This window comes from Homo sapiens, chromosome 19, assembly GCF_000001405.40.
Source record: "Homo sapiens chromosome 19, GRCh38.p14 Primary Assembly".
In the NCBI taxonomy this organism is placed as follows: Eukaryota; Metazoa; Chordata; class Mammalia; order Primates; family Hominidae; genus Homo; species Homo sapiens.
In genome coordinates, this window is record NC_000019.10 from 11,123,741 (window position 1) to 11,137,105 (window position 13,365).

The following is a 13,365-nucleotide window of genomic DNA, read 5'->3' on the forward strand; positions in this document are numbered from 1 at the left end:
CTCCAAAAGGCTAAGGAATCCAGTAACGTTTTAACACAATTTTACAATTTTTTTTTTTGAGACGGAGTTTTGCTCTTGTTGCCCAGGCTGGAGTGCAGTGGCACGATCTCGGCTCACTGCAACCTCTGGCTCCCGGGTTCAAGCGATTCTCCTGCCTCAGTCTCCCGAGTAGCTGGGATTACAGGCATGCGCCACCACGCTCGGCTAATTTTGTATTTTTAGTACAGAAGGGGCTTCTCTGTTGGTCAGGCTGGTCGTGAACTCTCAACCTCAGGTGAGCCACCCGCCTGAGCCTCCCAAAGTGCTGGGATTACAGGTGTGAGCCACCACGCCTGGCCTTTTTTTTGAGACAGAGTCTCGCTCTCGCCCATGCTGTACTGCAGTGACGCAGTCTGGGCTCACTGTAACCTCCGCTTCCCAGGTTCAAGTGATTCTTCTGCCGCAGCCTCCCATGTAGAGTAGCTGGGATTACAGGCACCCGCCACCATGCCTGGCTAATTCTTGCATTTTTAGTAGAGATGGGGTTTCACAGTGTTGGCCAGGCTGGTCTCAAACTTCTGACCTCAAGTCATCTGCCTGCCTTGGCCCTGCCAAAGTGCTGGGATTATAGATGTGAGCCACCGCGCCTGGCCTACAGTTTATTCTTTGGTGGCTCACACCTGTAATCTCAGCACTTTGGGAGGCCAAGGTGGGAGAATGGCTTGAGCCCAGGAGTTCAAGTCCAGCCTGGGCAACATAGCAAGACCCTATCTCTACTACAAAATAAATAATAAATAAACTAATTTTTTTTCTTTTAAAACCCAACTATTCAACATGGCAATGCAATATATTAAAAAAATTTTTTTTTTCTTTGAAACGGAGTCTCTCACTGTCACCCGGGCTGGAGTGCAGTGTCGCCATCTTGGCTCACTGCAACCTCCGCCTCCCAGGTCCAAGTGATTCTCCTGCTTCAGCCTCCCGAGTAGCTGGGATTACAGGCACCCACCACCATACCCAGCTAATATTTTTGTATTTTTAGTAGAGATGGGGTTTCACTATGTTGGGCAGGCTGGTCTGGAACTCCTGACCTCGTGATCTGCCCGAGGATCGGCGGCCTCCCAAAGTGCTGGGGATTGCAGGCATGAGCCACCGTGCCCAGCCAAAACTTTTTTATTTTTATTTTTTTGGGACACGGTCTCACTGTGTACCCCAGACTGGAGTGATAGAGTGCTGTCATGGCTCACTGCAGCCTCAACCTCCCTGGGCTCAGGTGATCTTCCTGCTTCAGTCTCCCAGGTAGCTGGGACTACAGGCATGAGCCACCACACCCAGCTAATTTTTGAATTTTTTTGTAGAGACAGGGTTTCACCTTGTGGCCCAGACTTGTCTCTAACTCCAGGGCTCAAGCGATCTGCCCACCTTGGCCTCCCAAAGTGCTGAGATTAATGCAATTTAAAAAATTTTTTGGCCAGGCCTGGTGGCTCATGCCTGTATTCACAACACCTTGGGAGGCAAAGGTGGGCAGATCACTTGAGGTCAGGAGTTCGAGACTAGCCTGGCCAACATGGTGAAACCCCCTGTCTACTAAAAAAATACAAAAATTACCTGGGCACAGTGGTGGGTGCCTGTAATCCCAGCTACTTGGGATGCTGAGGGTGGAGAATTGCTTGAACCTGGGAGGCAGAAGTTGCAGTAAGCCAAGATCATGCCACTGGACTCCAGCCTCAGTGACAGAGCAAAACTCTGTCTCCAAAAAAATTGTTTTTTTTTTTTTTTTTTCAAATCATCACACTACAGCCAAGGCCTGGCCACTTACTTTTGTAAATAAAGTTTTATTGGAGCCAGTGGACCAGTGAGGCCGAATCTTGCAGGTGTAAGATCACAGTCTATCCTTGAAAATTTTGATATTTTGTTCATTGGGTGGTTTTTCATTAATTTAAATTTTAAAAAATAACATATTAAAGGCTGGTGTGGAGGTGCACGCCTGCAGTCCTAGCTACTCCCAGAGGCTGAGGCGGGAGACTTGCTTGAGCCCAAGAGTTGAAGTCCAGCCTGGGCAACATAGCGAGACCCCCATCTCTAAAAATAAAAATAATGCATTAGAATATTATTGGATTCCTGGGCAGGGCACAGTGGCTCACACCTGTAATCCCAGCACTTTGGGAGGCTGAGGTGGGTGGATCACCTGAGGTCAGGAGTTTGAGACCAGCCTGGCCAACATGGTGAAACCCCGTCTCTACTAAAAATACAAAAATTAGCCAGGCGTGGTGGCAGGTGCCTGTAATCCCAGCTACTCGGGAGGCTGAAGCACGAGAATCGCTTGAATCCAGGAGGCGGAGGTTGCAGTGAGCTGAGATTGCGCCATTGCACTCCAGCCTGGAGGACAAGAGTGAAACTCCATTCCCCTCTGCAAAGAAAAGGAATATTATCAGATTCCTAAGCTTTTTGGCTCCCCCTTTAGTTTGGGGGCTGGGGTGGTGAGTGTCTGACCTGGCCTCACTGTCCTCCCTGGATGTGATGAGACCCAGGTGTGGGTCAGGATGTCATTCGTTTGTCCACCAGAGGGCGCCCAAACTGCTTTGAGCTGCTGGGAAATGGTGCTCCTAGACTTTTAGCAAACAAACAAAAAAAAATGGCACATCGGCAAATTTCAGACCATTCTTTTTTTTTTTTTTTTTGGTTCCAGAGTAGCTGAAATCTTTGTTCAGTTACAAGCAGGATAAAATGGAAACTGCCTGGGAGAGGCTGAGAAACCTTCTTGCTTGGGGGAGGTGGGGCACTGCTAGAATTAATCGCTTCACAGACCAGCCCATCCAGGACTCCTCAAATTTGGCAAAAAAGCCATTCATTCATTCATTCATTTATGTAGAGACGAGGGGGATCTGGCTATATTGCCTAGATTGGTCTCAAATTCCTGGCCTCAAGTGATCCTCCTGCCTTGGTCTACTAATGTGCTGCGATTACAGGCATGAGCCACCGTGCCTAGCTCTAGTGGACTTGAAATGTTGCCTTGCCCAGGGCCCTTATGTTGAATGGCCCAGGTCCACTTGTATGGTTCTGTACCAAGGTTAACCCCATCCCATAATGCCTGGGACAGTTGATGCAGGACAATCAGCTTCTGTGCCATTCAACCTCAGGACTGAGCATGCTGGGCATTGTGGGGTCCGAAGGTGGCTCCCCTGTCCCCTTCAAAATACCCTCTTTTTCTTTTCTTCTTTTTTTTTTTTTTTTTTTTTTGAGACGAAGTCTTGCTCTGTTGCCCCAGCTAGAGTGCAGTGGTGCGATCTCAGCTCCCCGCAACCTCTGCTTCCCGGGTTCAGGCGATTCTCCTGCCTCAGCCTCCTGAGTAGCTGGGATTACAGGTGCCCACCGCCACAGCTGGCTAATTTTTGTATTTTTAGTAGAGACAGGGTTTCACCGTGTTGGCCAGGCTGGTCTTGAACTCCTGACCTCAGGCAACCTGCCCACCTCAGCCTCCCAAAGTGCTGGGATTACAGGTTTGAGCCACTGGGCCTGGCCTTTTTTTTTTTTTTTTGAGAGGGAGTCTCACTCTGTTGCCCAGGCTGGAGTGCAATGGCGCGATCTTGACTCACTGCAACTCCATTTCCCGGGTTCAAGTGATTCTCCTCCCTCAGCCTCCCAAGTAGCTGGGATTACAGGTGCATGCCACCACGGCCAGCTAATTTTGTATTTTTAGTAGAGACAGGGTTTCACTATGTTGATCATGCTGGTCTCAAACTCCTGACCTTAGGTGATCTGCCCGCCTTAGCCTCCCAAAGTGTTGGGATTACAGGTGTGAGCCACCGCGCCCAGACCAAAATATGCTCATTTTAATAAAATGCACAAGTAGGTTGACAAGAATTTCACCTGCAACCTTGTCAACCACCTAGAATAAAAGCCTCTGCAGCCCTCCCCTAAAGACTCATCAATGTGAGGCTCAAGAACCTTCTTAGGCTGGGCTCGGTGGCTCATTTCTGTAATCCCTGCACTTTGGAAGGCTGAGGCAGGAGGATCTCTTGAGGCCAGGAGTTCAAGACAAGCCTGGGCAACATAGCCAGACCTCTGTTTCTATCCCCCACAAAAAGAACCTTCTTAAACCGGAATTGAGTCCTACAACCTCGATAACTCACAAATAAGCCCGTGTGGCCTCTCACAGACTTGGGAAGTTCTCCAAGTGTCCAGGGAGATGTGCCAGGCGCTTTCCTGCCGTGACCACCGTCCTCTGCCTGCTCCATTTCTTGGTGGCCTTCCTTTAGACCTGGGCCTCACTCTTGCTTCTCTCCTGCAGCTCTGGGCGACGTTGCTGGCAGAGGAAATGAGAAGAAGCCCAGTAGCGTGAGGGCTCTGTCCATTGTCCTCCCCATCGGTAAGCGCGGGCCGGTCCCCCAGCGTCCCCCAGGTCACAGCCTCCCGCTATGTGACCTCGTGCCTGGCTGGTTGGGCCTGTTCACTTTTTCTCCTGGACAGGGAACAGCCCCACTGGTGTCCTTTATCACCCCCACGGCCTCTCCTGGCTTGGGGCTGACAGTGACAAGATCAGACAGCTAAGGGGTCAGATGGAGGATGTGGAGCTGGGTCCCGTGCTGTGGAATAGCCTCACCGAGATTTGAGTGCCTTCTGGGGAACTGGTTCCCTTGCAGGGGGCTGTGTGGAGAGGCGCGCTCTCCCTGCCTCACCCATGCTCATCCTAACTCGGTTACCATCACATCTCTTTTTTCTTTTTTTCTTAAATTTTAAGAAAAAAGAAATTTAATTTTTTTGAGAGACAGAGTCTTGCTCTGTCACCCAGGCTGGAGTGCAGTGGCACCATCATGCCTCGCTGCAGCCTCAATGTCTGGGCTCAAGCGATCCTCCCACCTCAGCCTCCTGAGTAGCTGGTGCAAGCCACTATACCCCACTTCCTATTTCTTAAAAAGTCACAGCCCTGTGTGTGGCTAATCCTGGACAGAAATCTAGAAGAAGTCAGCTACTTCTGGGGCGTGGCTCACCCAGTGGGCTTCAGGTTAGATATTTCTTATACTTATGAGGCTGGGTGTGGTGGCTTATGCCTGTAATCCCAGCACTTTGGGAGGCTGAAGTGGGTGGATTGCTTGGGCTCAGGAGTTCGAGACCAACCTGGGCAACATGGCGAAACCCTGTTTCTAGAAAAGGTACAAAAATTAGCTGGGCAGGTGGCACGTGCCTGTGGTACCAGCTACTTGAGGGCCTGAGGCAGGAGGATCGCTTGAACCTGGGAGGTCGAGGTTGCAGTGAACTGAGATCATGTCACTGCACTCCAGCCTGGTGACAGAGCAAGACCCCGTCTCAAAAAAAAAAAAAGAAAGAAAAAAATTCTTATGCATAGATTTGCCTCTTTTCTGTTTGTTTGTTTTGAGATGGAGTCTCGCTCTGTCGCCCAGGCTGGAGTACAGTGGCTCAACCTCGGCTCACTGCAACCTCTGCCTCCCGGGTTCAAGCAATTCTCCTGCCTCAGCCTCCTGAGTAGCTGGGACTACAGGCGCCCGCCACCATGCCCAGCTAATTTTTGTATTTTTAGTAGAGACTGACTGGGTTTCATCATGTTGGCCAGGCTGGTCTCGAACTCTTGACCTCATGATCCGCCCGCCTCAGCCTCCCAAAATGCTGGGATTACAGGCGTGAGCCACCAGGCCCAGGCCGCAAGGCGATCTCTAAACAAACATAAAAGACCAGGAGTCAAGGTTATGGTACGATGCCCGTGTTTTCACTCCAGCCACGGAGCTGGGTCTCTGGTCTCGGGGGCAGCTGTGTGACAGAGCGTGCCTCTCCCTACAGTGCTCCTCGTCTTCCTTTGCCTGGGGGTCTTCCTTCTATGGAAGAACTGGCGGCTTAAGAACATCAACAGCATCAACTTTGACAACCCCGTCTATCAGAAGACCACAGAGGATGAGGTCCACATTTGCCACAACCAGGACGGCTACAGCTACCCCTCGGTGAGTGACCCTCTCTAGAAAGCCAGAGCCCATGGCGGCCCCCTCCCAGCTGGAGGCATATGATCCTCAAGGGACCAGGCCGAGGCTTCCCCAGCCCTCCAGATCGAGGACAGCATTAGGTGAATGCTTCTGTGCGCTCATTCAGAATGTCAGCGGACAATGGCCTTGGTGGTGTAGAGGAATGTTGGATAAGCAAATAGAGAGCTCCATCAGATGGTGACAGGGCAAAGAAAGTCAAAAGGAGTTCAGAGGCCGGGCGCGGTGGCTCATGCCTGTAATCCCAGGACTTTGGGAGGCCGAGGCTGGCGGATCACCTGAAGTCAGGAGTTTGAGACCAGCTTGGCCATCATGACAAAACCCCGTCTCTATTAAAAATACAAAAAATTAGCCAGGCGTGGGAGTGGGCGCCTGTAATCCCAGCTACTCGGGAGGCCGAGGTAGAAAAATCGCTTGAACCTAGGAGGCAGAGGTTGCAGTGAGCCGAGATCGCGCCACTGCATTCCAGCCCGGGAGGCAAGAGCAAAACTCCATCTCAAAAAAAAAAAAAAAAGGAGTTCAGAGGCCCGGCATGGTGGTTCACACATGTGATCCCAGAACTTGGGGAGGTTGAGGCAGGAGAATCACCTGAGCTCAGAGTTCAAGACCAGCCTGGGCAGCACAGCAAGACCCCATCTCTGCAAAAAATAAAAATTTAGCCCAGTGTGGTGATGAGCGCCTAGTTCCAGCTACTAGGGAGGCTAAGGCAGGAGGATTGCTTGAGGCTAAGGTAGGAGATTGAGACTGCAGTGACTTGTGATTGCGTCACTGCGCTCCAGCCTGGGTGACAGAGCAAGCCCTTGTCTCTTAAAAAAAAAAAAAAATTCAAAGAAGGGTTTCCAGAGGGCCAGGAGGGAGGAAGGGAGAGGAGGTGTTTTATTTTTTTGCTTTTATTTTTTATTTTGAGACAGAGTCTCTCTCTGTCACCCAGGTTGGAGTGCAGTGCTGTGATCTTGGCTCACTGCAACTTCTGCCTCCTGGGTTCAAGCAATTCTTATGCCTCAGCCTCAGCCTCCTGAGTAGCTGGGATTACAACACTATGCCCGGGTAATTTTTGTATTTTTAGTAGAGACGAGGTTTCGCCATGTTGCCCAGACTGGTCTCGAACTCCTGACCTCAAGTGATCCACCCGCCTTGGCCTCCCCACGTGCTGGGATTGCAGGCGTGAGCCACTGCGCCCGCCTTGATCTTTACACAAGGGGTTTAGGGTAGGTAGCCTTCTCTGAACCAGGAGAACAGCCTGTGCGAAGGCCCTGAGGCTGGACCGTGCCTGTTGGGTTTGAGGCCGTTGTAGCTGGAGCAAACAGAGAGAGGGGTAAAAAGGCAGGAGGCTACCAGGCAGGTTGTGCAGAGCCTTGTGGGCCACTGGGGAGGACTTTGGCTTTTGCCCTGAGAGCGGTGGGAAGTGACTGAATCCGGTACTCACCGTCTCCCTCTGGCGGCTCCTGGGGGAACATGCTTGGGGATCAGGCTGGGGGAGGCTGCCAGGCCCAGGAGGTGAGAAGTAGGTGGCCTCCAGCCGTGTTTCCTGAATGCTGGACTGATAGTTTCCGCTGTTTACCATTTGTTGGCAGAGACAGATGGTCAGTCTGGAGGATGACGTGGCGTGAACATCTGCCTGGAGTCCCGTCCCTGCCCAGAACCCTTCCTGAGACCTCGCCGGCCTTGTTTTATTCAAAGACAGAGAAGACCAAAGCATTGCCTGCCAGAGCTTTGTTTTATATATTTATTCATCTGGGAGGCAGAACAGGCTTCGGACAGTGCCCATGCAATGGCTTGGGTTGGGATTTTGGTTTCTTCCTTTCCTCGTGAAGGATAAGAGAAACAGGCCCGGGGGGACCAGGATGACACCTCCATTTCTCTCCAGGAAGTTTTGAGTTTCTCTCCACCGTGACACAATCCTCAAACATGGAAGATGAAAGGGGAGGGGATGTCAGGCCCAGAGAAGCAAGTGGCTTTCAACACACAACAGCAGATGGCACCAACGGGACCCCCTGGCCCTGCCTCATCCACCAATCTCTAAGCCAAACCCCTAAACTCAGGAGTCAACGTGTTTACCTCTTCTATGCAAGCCTTGCTAGACAGCCAGGTTAGCCTTTGCCCTGTCACCCCCGAATCATGACCCACCCAGTGTCTTTCGAGGTGGGTTTGTACCTTCCTTAAGCCAGGAAAGGGATTCATGGCGTCGGAAATGATCTGGCTGAATCCGTGGTGGCACCGAGACCAAACTCATTCACCAAATGATGCCACTTCCCAGAGGCAGAGCCTGAGTCACTGGTCACCCTTAATATTTATTAAGTGCCTGAGACACCCGGTTACCTTGGCCGTGAGGACACGTGGCCTGCACCCAGGTGTGGCTGTCAGGACACCAGCCTGGTGCCCATCCTCCCGACCCCTACCCACTTCCATTCCCGTGGTCTCCTTGCACTTTCTCAGTTCAGAGTTGTACACTGTGTACATTTGGCATTTGTGTTATTATTTTGCACTGTTTTCTGTCGTGTGTGTTGGGATGGGATCCCAGGCCAGGGAAAGCCCGTGTCAATGAATGCCGGGGACAGAGAGGGGCAGGTTGACCGGGACTTCAAAGCCGTGATCGTGAATATCGAGAACTGCCATTGTCGTCTTTATGTCCGCCCACCTAGTGCTTCCACTTCTATGCAAATGCCTCCAAGCCATTCACTTCCCCAATCTTGTCGTTGATGGGTATGTGTTTAAAACATGCACGGTGAGGCCGGGCGCAGTGGCTCACGCCTGTAATCCCAGCACTTTGGGAGGCCGAGGCGGGTGGATCATGAGGTCAGGAGATCGAGACCATCCTGGCTAACACGTGAAACCCCGTCTCTACTAAAAATACAAAAAATTAGCCGGGCGTGGTGGCGGGCACCTGTAGTCCCAGCTACTCGGGAGGCTGAGGCAGGAGAATGGTGTGAACCCGGGAAGCGGAGCTTGCAGTGAGCCGAGATTGCGCCACTGCAGTCCGCAGTCTGGCCTGGGCGACAGAGCGAGACTCCGTCTCAAAAAAAAAAAACAAAAAAAAACCATGCATGGTGCATCAGCAGCCCATGGCCTCTGGCCAGGCATGGCGAGGCTGAGGTGGGAGGATGGTTTGAGCTCAGGCATTTGAGGCTGTCGTGAGCTATGATTATGCCACTGCTTTCCAGCCTGGGCAACATAGTAAGACCCCATCTCTTAAAAAATGAATTTGGCCAGACACAGGTGCCTCACGCCTGTAATCCCAGCACTTTGGGAGGCTGAGCTGGATCACTTGAGTTCAGGAGTTGGAGACCAGGCCTGAGCAACAAAGCGAGATCCCATCTCTACAAAAACCAAAAAGTTAAAAATCAGCTGGGTACGGTGGCACGTGCCTGTGATCCCAGCTACTTGGGAGGCTGAGGCAGGAGGATCGCCTGAGCCCAGGAGGTGGAGGTTGCAGTGAGCCATGATCGAGCCACTGCACTCCAGCCTGGGCAACAGATGAAGACCCTATTTCAGAAATACAACTATAAAAAAATAAATAAATCCTCCAGTCTGGATCGTTTGACGGGACTTCAGGTTCTTTCTGAAATCGCCGTGTTACTGTTGCACTGATGTCCGGAGAGACAGTGACAGCCTCCGTCAGACTCCCGCGTGAAGATGTCACAAGGGATTGGCAATTGTCCCCAGGGACAAAACACTGTGTCCCCCCCAGTGCAGGGAACCGTGATAAGCCTTTCTGGTTTCGGAGCACGTAAATGCGTCCCTGTACAGATAGTGGGGATTTTTTGTTATGTTTGCACTTTGTATATTGGTTGAAACTGTTATCACTTATATATATATATATACACACATATATATAAAATCTATTTATTTTTGCAAACCCTGGTTGCTGTATTTGTTCAGTGACTATTCTCGGGGCCCTGTGTAGGGGGTTATTGCCTCTGAAATGCCTCTTCTTTATGTACAAAGATTATTTGCACGAACTGGACTGTGTGCAACGCTTTTTGGGAGAATGATGTCCCCGTTGTATGTATGAGTGGCTTCTGGGAGATGGGTGTCACTTTTTAAACCACTGTATAGAAGGTTTTTGTAGCCTGAATGTCTTACTGTGATCAATTAAATTTCTTAAATGAACCAATTTGTCTAAACTCGATGCACGTTCTTCTGTTCGCGCGCTTCTTTTTGTTTTTTTTTTTTTCCTGAGATGGAGCCTGGCTCTGTCACCCCTGGCTGGAGTGCAGTGGCATGATCTCGGCTTACTGCAAGCTCCGCCTCCCAGGTTCAAGCAATTCTCCTGCCTCAGCCTCCCTAGTAGCTAGGATTACAGGTGAGTGCCACCACGCCTGGCCAATTTTTTTTTTTTTTTTTTTTTTGAGACAGAGTCTCGCTCTGTCACCCAGGCTGGAGTGCAGTGGTGTGATCTCGGCTCACTGCAAGCTCTGCCTCCCAGGTTAATGCCATTCTCCTGTCTCAGCCTCCTGAGTAGCTGGGGCCACAGGCGCCTGCCACCACGCCCGGCTAATTTTTTTTTGTACTTCTTTTAGTACAGACGGGGTTTCACCATGTTAGCCAGGATGGTCTCGATCTCCTGACCTTGTGATCCACCTGCTTCGGCCTCCCAAAGTGCTGAGATTACAGGCGTGAGCCACCGCGGGTGGCCAACGCTAATTTTTTTGTTTTTTTAGATGGAGTCTTGCTCTGTCGCCCAGGCTGGAGTGCAGTGGCGTGATCTCTGCCTACTGCAAGCTCCGCCTCCCGGGTTCATGCCATTCTCCTGCCTCAGCCTCCTGAGTAACTGGGACTACAGGCACCCGCCACCACGCCCGGCTAATTTTTTGTATTTTTAGTAGAGACAGGGTTTCACCGTGTTAGCCAGGATGGTCTTGATCTCCTGACCTTGTGATCCACCCGTCTCGGCCTCCCAAAGTGCTGGGATTAGAGGTGTGAGCCACCACACCTGGCCTAGCCTGGCTAATTTTTGTATTTTTGGTAGAGACGGGGTTTCACCATGTTGGTCAGGCTGGTCTTGAACTTCTGACCTCAGGTAATCTGCCTGCCTCAGTCTCCCAAAGTGCTGGGATTACAGGTGTGAGCCACCGCGCCTGGCCTCACTTCCTTCTGTCATCTGTTTGTGGATTGGACTCCCCAGGAGAAGGACCCAGAAGGGGAAGACTCCCAGAACTCCGGGCAAGATGCAATCTCCGTGGGCTGCCACAGTGCCTGGCAGGTGCTGTGATGGCTGAGCTGGTGATTGTGTTCTCTGCTGTCGCTTCTCTGAGTTGGAGATTTTGTCAAGTCCCCTGCTCATCCATTCATACACTCGACAAATATCTGTTGAGTGCTAAGTGCGAACCATGCTCTGCCGTAGGCTTGTGGGACACTACAGGGGATATAAGAAATGAAAGCCGGGTGTGGTGGCTCACACCTGTAATCCTAGCAGTTTGGGAGGCCGAGGCGGGCAGATCATGAGGTCAGGAGATCGAGACCATCCTAGCTAACACAGTGAAACCCCATCTCTACTAAAAATACAAAAAATTAGCCAGGCGTGGTGGTGGGCGCCTGTAGTCCCAGCTGCTTGGGAGGCTGAGGCAGGAGAATAGCGTGAACCTGGGAGTTGGAGCTTGCAGTGAGCCGAGATCGCACCACTGCACTCTAGCCTGGGCAACAGAGCAAGACTCCATCTACAAAAAAAAAAAAAAGAAATGAAGTCTTGATACGGTGGCTCATGCCTGTAATCCCAGCACTTTGGGAGGCCAAGGCAGGCGGATCACGAGCTCAGGAGATCGAGACCATCCTGGCCAACGTGGCGAAACCCAGTCTCTACTAAAGATACAAAAAATTAGCCAGGCATGGTGGCGGGCGCCTGTAGTCCCAGCTACTTGGGAGGCTGAGGCAGGAGAATGGCATGAACCCAGGAGGCAGAGCTTGCAGTGAGCTGAGATCGCGCCACTGCACTCCAGCCTGGGCGACAGAGCGAGACTCTGTCTCAAAAAAAAAACAAAAAAGAAATGAAAATCTCCCTGTCTGTCCTTAAGGACCTGACATCATTTTATTTTATTTATTTTTTTGAGACAAGGTCTTGCTTTATTGCCCAGGCTGGAGTGCAGTGGCACAATCTTGGCTCACTGCAACCTCCACCTCCCGGGTTCAAGCGATTCTCCTGCCTCAGCCTCCTGTGTTGCTGGGATCACAGGCGCGTACCCGGCTAATTTTTATATTTTCAGTAGAGATGGGGTTTTGCCATGTTGGCCAGGCTATTCTTGAACTCTTGACCTCAAGTCGTCTACCGCCTCGGCCTCCCAAAATGCTAGGATTACAGGTGTGAGCCACCGCACCAAGCCAAATGTTACTTCATTAGAGAAACTCCCCCTGAAGAAAACTTCCTTCCTGCCAGTTGCTTTTCTGTCCCCATACTCTGTTTAATATTCTTCTAGAATATTCTTCTAAAATGTAGCAATTTTTTGTATCTATTCTAAAAATGGAGGCCAAGGAAGGCAGATCACTTGAGGTCAGGAGTTTGAGACTAGCCTGGCCAACATGGTGAAACCATGTCTCTACTAAAAAGGGTAAGATTTTGAGGCTGCAGTGAGCTATGACGGCACCATTGCACTCCAGGCTGGGCAACAGAGCGAGACACCATCTCAATAAAAAAAAAAAAAAGCAGGGTGCGGTGGCTCAAGCCTGTAATCCCAACACTTTGGGAGGCTGAGGCAGGCGGATCATGAGGTCAGGAGTTCGAGACCAGCCTGCCCAACATAGTGAAACCCTGTCTACTAAAAATACAAAAAAATTAGCCGGGTATGCTGGCAGGTGACTGCACCATAAAAAATGTTCAAGATTAAACAGGGGGACGGTGAGGTAACCCAGAAATAAGCAACAGCAGAAAGCGCCACCACCACAAAACCAGGAGAGGAAGATGTGGTTTCTGGAGCCTGGGAGCTGGTGAGAGCCAGAAACTCATAGGAGGGAAAGAAGTGCTGCAGACATGGTCCCCAGCAGAGCGAGGCGGGGAAGAGCCCAGCCTGTCCCCCGCTCCAGGCTCTATCTCCCACCAGTGCCTCCCACGGGCTGAGCCCAACAGGGACAGGCTGATGAAGCCCAGGCAATGGTGCCTTACTGGGTGGATCGAAGGAGGGACAGGGTTGGCCCAGGGGTGACACGACACTGGGGTGGTTAGGTCCACAAACGTGGCTCATGCCTGTAATCCCAGTACCTTGGGAAGCTGAGGCAGGAGGATTGCTTGAGCCCAGGAGTTCAAGAGCAGTCTGGGCAACATAGCAAGACCCCATCTCTAAAAAACGTTTTTAAATTTCTGGGCTCAGTGGCTCATGCCTATAATCCCAGCACTCTGGGAGGCCGAGGCAGGCGGATCACCTGAGGTCAGGAGTTCAAAACCAGCCTAGCCAAAATGGCAAAACCCCGC

General features: G+C 51.3%; 1 protein-coding gene across 6 annotated transcripts in view; it reads left to right on the top strand.

Annotated features, from left to right (window-relative positions):
• LDLR (low density lipoprotein receptor) overlaps nucleotides 1-10,080 on the top strand; it is a 44,358-nt gene extending 34,278 nt beyond the window's left edge. For 4 of the 6 annotated variants that reach the window (NM_000527.5, NM_001195803.2, NM_001195800.2 and 1 more), the window contains 3 exons: nucleotides 4,268-4,345; nucleotides 5,773-5,930; nucleotides 7,541-10,080. In NM_000527.5, the coding sequence (NP_000518.1) occupies nucleotides 4,268-4,345; nucleotides 5,773-5,930; nucleotides 7,541-7,576 (272 nt within the window). In that variant the 3' untranslated portion in view covers nucleotides 7,577-10,080. The remainder of the gene's footprint in view (nucleotides 1-4,267; nucleotides 4,346-5,772; nucleotides 5,931-7,540) is intronic. The other 2 variants (NM_001195798.2, XM_011528010.3) reach the window with 2 other exon arrangements.